Source organism: Homo sapiens, chromosome 11 (assembly GCF_000001405.40).
Source record: "Homo sapiens chromosome 11, GRCh38.p14 Primary Assembly".
Lineage (NCBI taxonomy): Eukaryota > Metazoa > Chordata > Mammalia > Primates > Hominidae > Homo > Homo sapiens.
Window position 1 is genome coordinate 47,696,765 of NC_000011.10, and position 13,372 is coordinate 47,710,136.

The 13,372-nt window shown below is 44.1% G+C and overlaps 1 protein-coding gene across 1 annotated transcript in view; it reads right to left on the reverse strand.

Annotated features, from left to right (window-relative positions):
• AGBL2 (AGBL carboxypeptidase 2) overlaps positions 1-13,372 on the reverse strand; it is a 55,779-nt gene that overhangs the window by 37,174 nt on the left and 5,233 nt on the right. The window contains exons 5-8 of the mRNA NM_024783.4: positions 9,100-9,153; positions 8,757-8,870; positions 7,779-7,964; positions 2,682-2,789 (exon numbers count right to left, since the gene is read on the reverse strand). Of these exons, the coding sequence (NP_079059.2) occupies positions 2,682-2,789; positions 7,779-7,964; positions 8,757-8,870; positions 9,100-9,153 (462 nt within the window). The remainder of the gene's footprint in view (positions 1-2,681; positions 2,790-7,778; positions 7,965-8,756; positions 8,871-9,099; positions 9,154-13,372) is intronic.

Here is a 13,372-nt window from a genome sequence, read left to right on the forward strand (position 1 = left end):
TATGTTACCTTTTTCATTTCTGATTTTGATAATTTGTGCCTCTTTTCCTTTCTTGGGTTAGCAAATGTGTTTCAATTTTGTTGATGTTCCAAACAACCAACTTTTGGTTTGTTTTTCTCCATCAGTTTTCTGTCTTCTATTCAATGCTTTCCTTTTTTATTTTTTATTTATTTATTGATTTTTGAGATAGAGTCTCGCTCTGTCACCCAGGCTGAGTATAGTGGCACAATCTTGGCTCACTGCAACCTCTGCCTCCTGGGTTCATGCAATTCCCCTGCCTCAGCCCCCCAAGTAGCTGGGATTACAGGGGCATGCCACCACACCCAACTAATTTTTGTATTTTTAGTAGAAACAGGGTTTCACCATGTTGGTCAAGCTGGTCTCACACTCCTGATCTCAAGTGATCCACCCACCTCAGCCTCCCAAAGTGCTAGGATTACAGGTATGAGGCACCACATCCAGCCTCTTAATGATGATGATGATGATTTTTTGAGATGGAGTCTCGGTCTGTCGCCCAGGCTGGAGTGCAGTGGCACAATCTTGGCTCACTGCAACCTCCACCTCCCAAGGTTCAAGGGATTCTCCTGCCTCAGCCTCCTGAATAGCTGTAACTACAGGCGCATGCCATCATGCCCGGCTAATTTTTTGTATTTTTAGTAGAGATGGGGTTTCACCATGTTAGCCACGATGGTCTCGATCTCCTGACCTTATGATCCGCCCACCTTGGCCTTCCAAAGTGCTGGGATTACAGGCGTGAGCCACCTCGCCAAGCCTACTTTTTTTTTTTTTTTTTTTTTTTGAGACGGAGTCTTGCTCTGTCGCCCAGGCTAGAGTGCAGTGGCGCAATCTTGGCTCACTGCAAGCTGTGCCTCCCGGGTTCACGCCATTCTCCTGCCTCAGCCTCCCGAGTAGCTGGGACTACAGGCGTGTGCCACCACGCCCGGCTATTTTTTTTGTATTTTTAGTAGACACGGAGTTTTTCCGTGTTAGCCAGGATGGTCTCAATTTCCTGACCTCGTCGTCCGCCCGCCTCAGACTCCCAAAGTGCTGGGATTACAGGCGTGAGTCATCGCGCCCGGCCTTTTTTTATTTTATTTTTTATTTTTTTTTAATGAGACGGAGTTTCACCCTTGTTGCCGAGGCTGGAGTGCAGTGGCGCCATCTTGGCTCACAGCAACCTCCAACTCCCAAGGTTTAAACGATTCTCCTGCCTCAGCCTCCTGAGTAGCTGGGTTTACAGGCGCCTGCCACCATGACTGGCTAATTTACTGTGTTTTAGTAGAGACAGAGTTTCACCATGTTGGGCAGGCTGGTCTCGAACTGCCGACCTCAGGTGATCTGCCCATCTTGGCCTCCCAAAGTGCTGGCATTACAGGTATGAGCCACCAAGCCCAGTCTACATAATTTTTTTTTTTTTTTTTTTTTTGAGACGGAGTTTCACTCTTGTTGCCCAGGCTGGAGTGCATGGCACGATCTTGGCTCACCACAACCTCTGCTTCCCAGGTTCAAGAGACTCTCCTGCCTTAGCCTCCCAAGTAGCTGGGATTGCAGGCATGCACTACCACACCTGGCTAATTTTGTATTTTCAGTAGAGATAGGGTTTCTCCATGTTGGTCAGGCTGGTCTGGAACTCCCAACCTCAGGTGGTCTGCCTGCCTCGGCCTCCCAAAGTGCTGGGATTATAGGCGTGAGCCACAGCGCCCAGCCACATTCTTATTTTTATTACTACTTTCCTGCTGCTTGCTTTGGGTTTAGTTGGCTCTTATTTTTCCAGTTTACTAAGGTAGAAGCTTAGGTAATTGATAAGAAGCCTTTTTCGTTTTGAAATTCAGGCACTTAAAGCCATAAATACCCATAAATATCCCTGGCACTGGTTCATTTTGTTTTGCATCCTATAACTTTTGATATGTTATGGTTTTATTTTCACTACATTCAAAATATTTTTGAAGTCTACTTGTGATTTCTTTAACCCACAGTTTATTTAGAAAGATGTTATTCAATTTCCACATATTTATGGATATCTCATATTTCATTCTGTTGTTGATTTCTAACTTAATTTTATTATGGTCAGAGAATGTACTTTGTATTATTTTAATCCTTTTACATGTATAAAAACTTCCATTACGGCCTAACATATGGTTTATCCTGGGGAATCTAACAGGTACCCTTAAAAAGAATGTGTATGACTTCAGTAGGAATGGCAAAAAAAAAAAAAAAAAAAGAATGAGTATTTTGTTGTTGTTAGGTATGGTGTTCTGCATATTTCTATAAAAGATATATATTCAATCCTTAGAAGCTTAAAACTCAACACAGGAAACTGCATTACTAAATGACAGTCATATGCACATAGAACAAAGTACTCACTAAAGTACGTATAACAGGTGGAGAAAAGAAATCTCCCCAAAGATGATCCAACATCTGATTTTCAGGAAGGAGAATAACAAGAGAGAAGCTGTAAAATGGACTTAGAACTATTAAAAATAATGTACTTTGATTTTAGAAAATTATCGAAATTTTGCAGCAGACTGGTTATGACTCCTCCTCCAGGCTCCCACTCATGTTGGCCTGGAAAAGAGTTTACCACTAAACTATGGATTTTTAAAATCACTTTTATTATGGAACATATGTTTATTATAACTTTGTCATGATTAACCATTCATTGTTCAGTGTAATGACAATACCTGAATCTAATTGATAGACAACTGTTCCTTTTTTCTCTCCTACAATCTCTGGTACCTTTTCATTTCCTTTAGGCTGATAGAAATATTCTGGTTGAGGTGGAGCCCACTCTGAAAGAAGACATTTTAAAAAGTACAAAATAAGAAATAATGTAAACGGCACTATCAGAACTAATATAAAATAATAATAATAATTTTTCAAATGGCTAGTTTGGTTGAATCAAACCAAATTCCCACCCTAAATTTCCTGCTTGTTTATAAAATAATTATGTCTTGTTTCTTTCTATAAAGACTTATGAGGACACTTTTAACAAAGAGCATATAAAATGAAATATAAACTATCCATAGAAGACCTAAGAATAAGTCAGAAAGGTCAATATAGCTGCTGCAACAGCTCTTCAAAATTTGGCCCTGAGTTTCCTTAAAGTGAGCAAAATATGGTCATTAACATAATTTTTTTTATTACCATAGAGGACTAGGTCTATCAATTGTTTCAGAGGAAGCAAGCCTTTTTCTTTTCTTTCTTTTTTTTTGAGATGGAGTCTTGCTCTATTGCTCAGGCTAGAGTGCAATGGTGCAATCTCGGCTCACCGCAACCTCCGCCTCCCGGGTTCAAGCGATTCTCTCGCCTCAGCCTCCTGAGTAGCTGGGATTACAGACATGTGCCACCACTCCCGGCTAATTTTGTATTTTTAGTAGAGACAGGGTTTCTCCATGTTGGTCAGGCTGGTCTCAAACTCTCGACCTCAGGTGATCCGCCCTCCTCTGCCTCCCAAACTGCTGGGATTACAGGTGTGAGCCACTGTGCCTAGCGAAGGCTTTTTCATTAACACTGAATTTAAAAAGATTTCTTTGGCTGGGTGCAGCGGCTTATGCCTGTAATCCCAGCACTTTGGGAGGACAAGGTGGGTAGATTACCTGAGGTCGGGAGTTCGAGACCAGCCTGGCCAACATAGTGAAACTCTGCCTCTACTAAAAATACAAAAATTAGCCGGGTATTGTGGCATGTGCCTGTAGTCCCAGCTACTCGGGAGGCTGAGGTAGGAGAATCGCTCTAACCTGGGAGGCGGAGGTTGCAGTGAACCGAGATCACGCCACTGCGTGCCAGCCTGGGCGAACAGAGCAAGACTCTGTCTCAAAATAAATTTAAAACAAACAAACCAACAAACAAACAAACAAACATTTCCTTTACGGAACTTGAACTTTTCAATATCATTTTTAGAAGAGTAGCCACTGATGAATTCCAAGAGCATATAAAGATACACCTCAGTCAAATATTACATGAATTTATTTTCTCGAAGATTATAGGAAGTGATGAGGCTTTCACAATTTAGTTTAAACAATAAGGTGCTTGCATGCCTGTAATCCCAGCACTTTGGGAGGCCAAGGAGAGTGAATCATGAGGTCAGGAGATCGAGACCAGCCTGGCCAACACGGTGAAACCCCGTCTCTATTAAAAAATACAAAAATTAGCCGAGTTACAGTGGGCACCTGTAATCCCAGCTACTCAGGAGGCTGAGGCAGAATTGCTTGAACCCAGGAGACAGAGGCTGCAGTGAGCTGACGCGGTGCCACCGCACTCCAGCCTGGGCGACAGAGTGAGACTCTGTCTCAAAAAAAAAAACAAACAAACAACCAATAAGGTGCTTATTAATACAATTTAGTTTAAACAATAAGGTGTTTGTTAATAAGTTTCTTTGAAACATTTTTTTAAAAATTGCTTTATAAAAGATCATGTAGTTGGCTGGGCGCAGTGAGTGGCTCACGCCTGTAATCCCAGCACTTTGGGAGGCCGAAGCGGGCGGATCATGAGGTCAGGAGTTCGAGACCAGCCTGACCAACATGGTGAAACCCCGTCTCTACTAAAAAAAGTAAAAAATTAGCCAGGCGTGGTGGTGCACACCTGTAATCCCAGCTACTCAGGAGGCTGAGGAGGGAGATTGCTTGAACCTGGGAGGCGGAGGTTGCAGTGAGCCGAGATTGTGCCATTGCACTCCAGACTGGGCGACAGAGCAAGACTCCGTCTCAAAAAAAAAAAAAAAAAAGATCTTGTAGTTTAGTGAATTACCACAGCATTAACTTGGTTATTAAATTCCAGTGTCCTTGCTGGGGGTGGTGGCTCACACCTGTAATCTCAGCACTTTAGGAGGCCAGGAGGATCATTTGAGGCCAGGAGTTTGGGAGTAGCCTGGGCAACATAGTGAGACCATGTGTCTCTACAAAAAAACTATTTAAAAATGAGCCAGGTGGCCGGGCACAGTGGCTTACACCTGTAATCCCAGCACTTTGGGAGGCTGAGGCAGGCAGATCACTTGAGGTCATGAGTTCGAGACCAGCCTGGCCTACATGGTGAAACCCCGTCTCTACCAAAAATATAAAAAATGAGCAGAGTGTGGTGGCACGTGCCTGTAATCCCAGCTACTTGGGAGGCTGTGGCAGAGAAGCACTTGAACCTGGGAGGCGGAGGTTGCAGTGAGCCAAGATCATGCCACTGCACTCCAGCCTGGGCGACAGAGCGAGACTCTGTTCTCAAAAAAAAAAAAAAAAAAAGAAAAAAAATTAGCCAGGCATGGTGGTGCACGCCTATAGTCCTAGCTACTCAGGAGGCTGAGAGGGGAGGATGGCTTGTGCCCAGGAGTTCAAGGCTGCAGTGAGCTATGATTGCACCACTGCACTCCAGCCTGAGTGACAGAACAAGACCCTGTCTCAAAAATAAAATATAAAGTCAAATAAACTCTACTTTTATTTTTTCCCTATATTTTCAGACTCTTCTCTTGTTTTTAATGCTCAATGTTCTATGGTTGCCCAAGCATGCCATGCTCTTTTTCTGTTTCTTCCAACTGAAATACTTTTCTTTGACCCTCTTAATTGGATCATTTCGAACTCATCCTTTAGATCTCAGCTTAGTTGTCAACTCCTTTTGAAAACTTATGCTGATCTCTAAGCTGGGTTAGGTATGCTCAGAGGGACCAAGCACTATGCAATTGTCTGTTAAAATGTTTAACTTCCCCACTAGTTCATGAACTCTGGGTCCATGAACTCTCCACTTTGCTCATCACTACTATCTCTAGCACCAAGCACTGTACTTAGCATATAACAACACATATGAACGAATATTATAAAGCAGGGAGACAGAAAATGAGGAACATCCAGCTGGGTGCGGTGGCTCATGGCTGTAATCCCAGCACTTTGGGAGGCCGAGGCGGGTGGATCATGAGGTCAGGAGTTCGAGACCAGCCTGACCAAGATGGTGAAACCCCGTCTGTACTAAAAATACAAAAATTAGCTGGGTGCGGTGGTGGGTGCCTGTAATCCCAGCTACTCCAGAGGCTGAGGCAGGAGAATCGCTTGAACCCGGGAGGCGGAGGTTGCAGTGAGCCGAGATGGAGCCATTGCACTCTAGCCTGGGTGATAGAGCAAGACTCCGTCTCAGAAAAAAAAAAGGAACATCCAGTTGTTTATTCAGTAGTATAAAGCAGAGACATACGTGATGTTTGCTAGACTTGTTCTGGTAATTAGAGAAGTCCCCACTTTCTAATGCAACCCAATTCCATAAATGCTTAATCCATAAAATGGATGCAGAAGATTGTACTTGCTCCAAGAGCTCACAGGTATGACCCATAATGTCATAAAAAAGTCTCCACCATTCCGACAAGAAAACTCCAATAAACTCAAAATATAAAATTAAATTAATTTTATATTTAATTAAAAACTGTAAAAACTATGTCGTGGTATATGTAGTCTTCAATTATACCAAGACTGGTAAAAATACCACACAACCAAACACATTAATACTGAGACAGGGTAGCACCCCTGTATTTTTAGATAAGATGCTATGCCCTCTCTCCAAAAAATGAAAAAGAAAAGAAAAAAACCACTGAAACAGGTTAATCTAGAAAACAGATTTCAGTATTTATATATTTTGGCTTCTAGGAAGGTATCCTCTCATTCTGAAAAACTCAGAAGCATTCTAGTTTACACATTAGTGTAACTTGATTTTGGTGAGTTTATATCAGTTTCTCACAGTTTAATTTTTTCCAGGGTGAGTTAATAAATGTTGACTCTAGGCTGAGTGCACTGGCTTATGCCTGTAATCCCAGCACTTTGGGAGGCCAAGGCGGGTGGATCACTTAGCATCAGGAGTTTGAGACCAGCCTGGCCAACATGGAGGAACGCTGACTCTAATAAAAATAAAAAACTAGCCGGGTGTGGTGGCTCACATCTGTAATCCCAGCACTTTGGGAGGCCGAGGCGGGTGGATCACCTGAGGTTGGGGAGTTCGAGACCAGACTGACCAACATGGAGAAACCCCGTTTCTACTAAAAATACAAAATTAGCCGGGTGTGGTGGCACATGCCTGTAATCCCAGCTACTCAGGGGGCTGAGGCAGGAGAATCATTTGAACCTGCGAGGCGGAGGTTGCAGTGAGCCGAGCTCATGCCATTGCACTCCAGCCTGGGCAACAAGAGCGAAAGTCAGTCTCAAAAAAAAAAAAAAACAAAAAAAAAACTAGCCAGGCGTGGTGGCCAGGCATCTGTAATCCCAGCTACTTGGGGGGCTTAGGCAGGAGAATCACTTGAACCTGGGAGGTGGGGGTTGCCATGAGTCGAGATTGCGCCACTGCACTCCAGCCTGAGTGACAGAGTGAGACTCTGTCTCAGTAAATAAATAAATAAATAAATGTTGACTCTGTCCTGCCTTATACTTAAGCACGTAGGACTTAACATTCTCAGATCTTGTAATAAAGTCAGGCAGAAGGCCGGGCTTGGTGGCTTATGCCTGTAATCCCAGCACTTTGGGAGGCCAAGGTGGGCGGATCACGAGGTCAGGAGTTCGAGACTAGCTTTGCCCACATGATGAAACCCCGTCTCTACTTAAAAATGCAAAATTAGCTGGGCGTGGTGGTGTGCGCCTGTAATCCCAGCTACTCAGTAGGAGGCTGAGGGAGGAGAATCCCTTGAACCTGGGAGACAGAGGTTGCAGTGAGCTGAGATTGCGCCATTGCACTCCAGCCTGGGAAATAGAGTGAGACTTCGTCTCAAAAAAAAAAAAAAAAAAGTCAGGCAGAATAGCAAGACCACTGTGAGTAAGTCATATTACCAATATGATGGATGTTTTCCTTGATGACCTCACATTCAATTGGCCATCTTGGAGCCTGCAGTGGCCTCTTGGTAGACAAAATGGAAAAGAGCTCTTGGGGTTCTCGAAGACGTGGGTTTACTTCATCCAACTCATCATAAAGAAGCTGTCTGCTCCTAAGATGTGGTAAACTCAGCATATGTGAATCTGCCAAAGGGAAAGAGAGTAAGTGAACATCTTCCTTTTCCTCCTTGGGAACTTTACTGCTCATCTATAACAATGAAACTATTTTAAGCATTATATTAAAATATTAGCACAGATATGTGATTCTCTGACATGTTTCTCCTTCAAGAAGATTTAGTCCAGAATAACAGGTTCAAAATTATAAAACGTTAAAATTCTGCACAGTCTATTAAATGTTTAAATATAAAGCTTTAGGGTAAATTAAAAACCTTTTAAAAATTAAATTTAATGGTCCAAGACATTTCAACAGTGGGTTACAATGAATAAGAAGTTACTTAATATGTTTTATTATTTTTGTTTAGCTAGTGGCAAGAGAGGAAATTTCAATATATCCATTAGCATTTTAGAAAAAATTACATAAAACTTTATTCTTTTTTTCTTCTTTTTTATCAACTATAGTGAAATAATCTATAAATAAAATTTCAGGGCCATAATATAACCATACAAAGGAAAGACAGACATAAAACAAAGAAGATGGAAAGAGGAAGGGGAGAGAAGGCATGAGATGGGGCAGAAGAGAGGAAGAGCTCTTGGGAAAGAAAGAATGAGAAAAAAGGGAAGAAAAGAAAGGCTTTCAGGAAGATAAAAAAGAAAGGAGGGGCCAGGCGTGGTGGCTCAAGCCTGTAATCCCAGAACTTTGGGAGGCTGAGGCGGGCTGATCATCTGAGTTCAGGAGTTCGAGACCAGCCTGGCCAACGTGGTGAAATCCTGTCTCTACTAAAAACATAAAAATTAGCTGGGCGTGGTGGCACATGCCTGTAATCCCAGCTACTCGGAAAGCTGAGGCAGGAGAATCCTTGAATCTGGGAGGTGGAGGTTGCAGTGAGCTGAGGCCGCGCCACTGCATCCAGCCCAGGCAAGAGTGAAAGTCTGTGTCAAAAAAAAAAAAAAAAGAAAAAGAAAAAGAAGAAAGGGAATGAGGAAAAAAGAAAAAAATGGAAATGAAAGGGGGAACTAAAGGCTGAGGGTCCTTCAGTGCTCATCAGGCATGAATCCCATTCCTGTCTGGTAATTCTTAGGTCTGGTGGGAACAGCAGGTGATGAAGACATAGTCCAAAAAAGGAGCTTGAATCTTCTGGTCTGGAAGGACATGAAATACCTCTGTTGATGGCTTCTATCTGTCTGTGCACAGCTGAAGATAAACTGATAGGCCCTAGAAAGAGGAAGAGGAGGCACCCTTGGTGTCAGGGATCGTTGTCTTCTTTTCTTCTGTCTGCTATCCCCATCCCTTCTCATTTCCTATGCTCACTCTGGACCCCTGCATTTCTATCTAAATCTTTCTCCCATACTTTAATGGGGGAAATAAAAGGAAATAAACATTTGAAAAGATAGTAAAGCTGCACAATGTCACTCATAACTAAAGAAATATAAAGCAGTTTGGGCACGGTAGCTCACACATGTAATCCTAGCACTTTGGGAGGCCAAGGCGGGCGGATTACCTGAGGTTGGGAGTTCAAGACCAGCCTGGCCGGCTGGGCGCGGTGGCTCATGCCTGTAATCCCAGCACTTTGGGAGGCTGAGGTGGGCGGATCACGAGGTCAGGAGATCGAGACCATCCTGGCTAACATGGTGAAATCCTGTCTCTACTAAAAATACAAAAGATTAGCCCGGCGTGGTGGCAGGCGCCTGTAGCTCCAGCTACTCGAGAGGCTGAGGCAGGAGAATGCCGTGAACCCGGGAGGCGGAGCTTGCGGTGAGCCTAGATTGCGCCACTGCACTCCAGCCTGGGGCACAGAGCAAGACTCCGTCTCAAAAAAAAAATAAATAAAAATAAAAATAAATAATTGTGGAATATGACAGGTGCCCTTATAAAGAATGGGGTAAAGGCAGGAGAGGTGGCGTGTGCCTATAGTCCCACCTAGTCCAGAGGCTGCAGGGTAGGGGTTGGGTTGTGGTCACTTGAGCCCAGGAATTTGAGTCCAGCCTCAAAAGAATGTGTTTTTTGTTTTGTTTGTGGTGCTCATATGAAAAGGCTTTCTCTTTTGTTTTTTTAAGACAGGGTTGCTGGGTGTGGTGGCTCACACCTGTAATCCCAGCACTTTGGGAGGCCAAGGCAGGCGGATCATTTGAGGTCAGGAGTTCGAGACCAGCCTGGCCAACATGGTGAAACCCTGTCTCTACTATTCCAAAAAAAAAAAAAAAAAAAAAAGAATTAGCCGGGCCTGTAATCCCAGCACTTTGGGAGGCCAAGGCAGGCGGATCACTTGAGGTCAGGAGTTCAAGACCAGCCTGGCCAATATGGTGAAACCCTGTCTCTACTAAAAAAAAAAAAAAAAAAAAAAAATTTAGCCAGGCATGGTGGCACGTGCCTGTAATCCTAGCTACTAGGGAGGCTGAGGCAGGAGAATTGCTTTAACCCGGCAGGTGGAGGTTGCAGTGAGCAGAGATCGTGCCTTTCTACTCCCTGCCAGGAGCTTTAGCACACAGAATATAGGAAACTTTTGGGCTGGTGTAAGCAAACGTATAAGATACATACCTGAAAAGGGAAATACTACATCAAGGGTAAATTACTGTTTTAATTTTCCCAGCTGTGTTAGTCCATTTTCACACTGCTGAAAAAGACATACCTGAGACTGGGCAATTTACAAAAGAAAGAGGTTTAATGGACTTACACTTCCACGTGGCTGGGGAGGCCTCACAATCATGGCAGAAGGCAAGGAGGAGCAAGTCATGTCTTAAATAAATGGCACCAGGCCAAGAGAGAGCTTGTGCAGGGAAACTCCCCCTTATAGAACTATCTGATCTCGTGAGACTTATTCACTATCACAAGGACAGCATGGAAAAAACCTGCCCCCATGATTCAATTACCTCCCACCAGGTCCCTCCCACAACACGTGGGAATTTAAGATGAGATTTGGGTGGGGACGCAGCCAAACAATATCACCAGCTATTGCCAAATTGCCTTCCTAAAAGTCTACTTACTCACATTGGCAACAGCAGTATAGGAAAGTGTGTTCCTCCATACCCTAACCTACACTACGTATAAGTTTCTTTAAAATTTTGCCCAAATCTCATAATTTAAAAAAATGGTAACTTGCTATTTTGATTTGCATTTTCAGTTAGTAGTGGAGAATCTTTTCATATGCTTATTGACTATGTTTTTCCATGAACTACTTGTTCATGTCTTTTACTCATTTTTCTATTTGGTCATCTTTTTTGTTTGTGTTTATTTAGAGAAAGGGTCTCTCTATGTTGCCCAGGCTGGACTCAAAATCCTGGGCAATTCTGGGGCTCAAATGATCCTCCTGCCTCAGGCTCCCAAGTGGCTGAGACTACAGCCATTTGCCACCATGTTCAGATTTAGTCATCTTTTTTTTTTTTGAGATGGAGTCTCGCTCTGTCACCCAGGCTGGAGTGCAGTGGTGCAATTTCCTCTCACTGCAACCTCTGCCTCCCAATTTCAAGCGACTCTCCTGCCTCAGCCTCCTGAGTAGCTGGGATTACAGGTGGGCACCATCACGTTGGGATAATTTTTCTATTTTTAGTAGAGACGGGGTTTCACCAAATTGGCCAGGCTGGCTTCGAACTCCTGACCTCAGGTGATCCGCCTACCTTGGCCTCCTAAAGTGCTGGGATTACAGGCATGAGCCACTGTGCCCAGCCCAATCATCTTTTATTAACACTTACTGATTTGAAAGAGCTGTTATATGTAAAGGAAATGAACCCTTTGGCATATTTGTTGCAAATTTTTTTTTTTTTAGTTTGTCCTTTACTTTATCAATGGTATTTTTTCCAAAGAGAAGTTTAAATTTTTCCTTTAAAAATTATCAGCTGGGCACAGTGGCTCATGCCTGTAATCCCAGCACTTTGGGAGGCCAAGGCAGGCGGGTCGCGAGGTCAAGAGATCAAGACCATCCTGGTCAACATGGTGAAACCCCGTCTCTACTAAAAATACAAAAATTAGCTGGGCATGGTGGCGCGTGCCTGTAGTCCCAGCTACTCGGGAGGCTGAGGCAGGAGAATCACTTGAAGCCAGGAGGCGGAGGTTGTAGTGAGCCGAGATGGAGCCACTGCACTCTAGCCTTTTGACAGAGCAAGACTCTGTCTCAAAAAAAAAAAAAAAATTATCAATATTGGCTGGGTGTGTTGGCTCGCACCTGTAATCCCAGCACTTTGGGAGGCTGAGGTGGGCCGATCACCTGAGGTTGGGAGTTTGAGACCAGCCTGGCTAACATGGCGAGACACTGTCTCTACTAAAAGTACAAAAATTAGCCAGGAGTGGTGGCGGGCGCCTGTAATCCCAGATACTCAGGAGGCTGCAGCAGGAGAATAGCTTGAACCCGGGAGGCAGAGGTTGCAGTGAGCTGAGATAGTGCTACTGTACTCCAGCCTGGGCGACAAGAGCGAGACTCCGTCTCAAAACAAAACAAAACAATATTGTATTTTACGGTTTTCAGATCTTGTGTCATTCAAAGGTTTTAAGTAAAAAAGGGACCTAATCAGATTTGCATATAAAAAACACTGCTATGTGGAAAATTGATTGGAGGGGGCGGGGCAGCACAGAACAAGAGGAGCCAGGAGACCAATTAGGAGGCTGAATGATGACAGCTTGGATGGGAGGTGGTAGGACTCTGAGGGTGGGGGTGTAAGGGTAGCGGTGGAGGTTGGGGATAAGCAGGGGGGGTTGTAGAGAAAAGAGGGGTGGATCAGTGTTTGGTTTGAGGGAGAAGTTCAACTGGATTCCTCCCCTTGGATTTTAGAAGAAACCTGTGTCTCTGCAAAAAATTATTTTTTTGTGTAAGCTAGCTAGAACTGTTTTCCACTGCTCCTATGCAAAGAGCCTTAGTAAGCATTATCCATCAAACTGTAAAAATCAATGTATTACTTTTTTTTTTTTTTTTGAGACAGGGTCTCACTCTGTTGCCCAGGCTGGAATGCAGTGGCGCAATCTCAGCTCACCGCAACTTCCGCCTCCCAGGTTCACACAATCCTCCTGCCTCAGCCTCCCCAGTAGCTGGGACCACAGGCACCTGCCACCATGCCCAGCTAATTTTTGTATGTTTCTGTAGAGACAGAGTTTTGCCGTGTTGCCCAGGCTGGTCTCGAGCTCCTGAGCTCAAGTGATCTGCCTGCCTCAGCAATCCAAAGTGCTGGGATTACAGGCGTGAGCCACGATGCCAGGTGTATTACTCTTTTTTTTTTTGAAACAGAATCTCACTTTGTCACCCAGGCTGGAGTACAGTGGCCCAACCTCGGCTCATTGCAACCTCCGCCTCCTGGGTTCAAGTGATCCTCCCACCTCAGCCTCCCAAGTCCTGAGATTACCAGTGTGTGTCACCACACCCGGCTAATTTTTATATTTTTAGTAGAGCTGGGGTTTTGCCATGCTGGTCAGACTGGTCTCAAACTCCTAACCTCAAGTGATCCTCCCA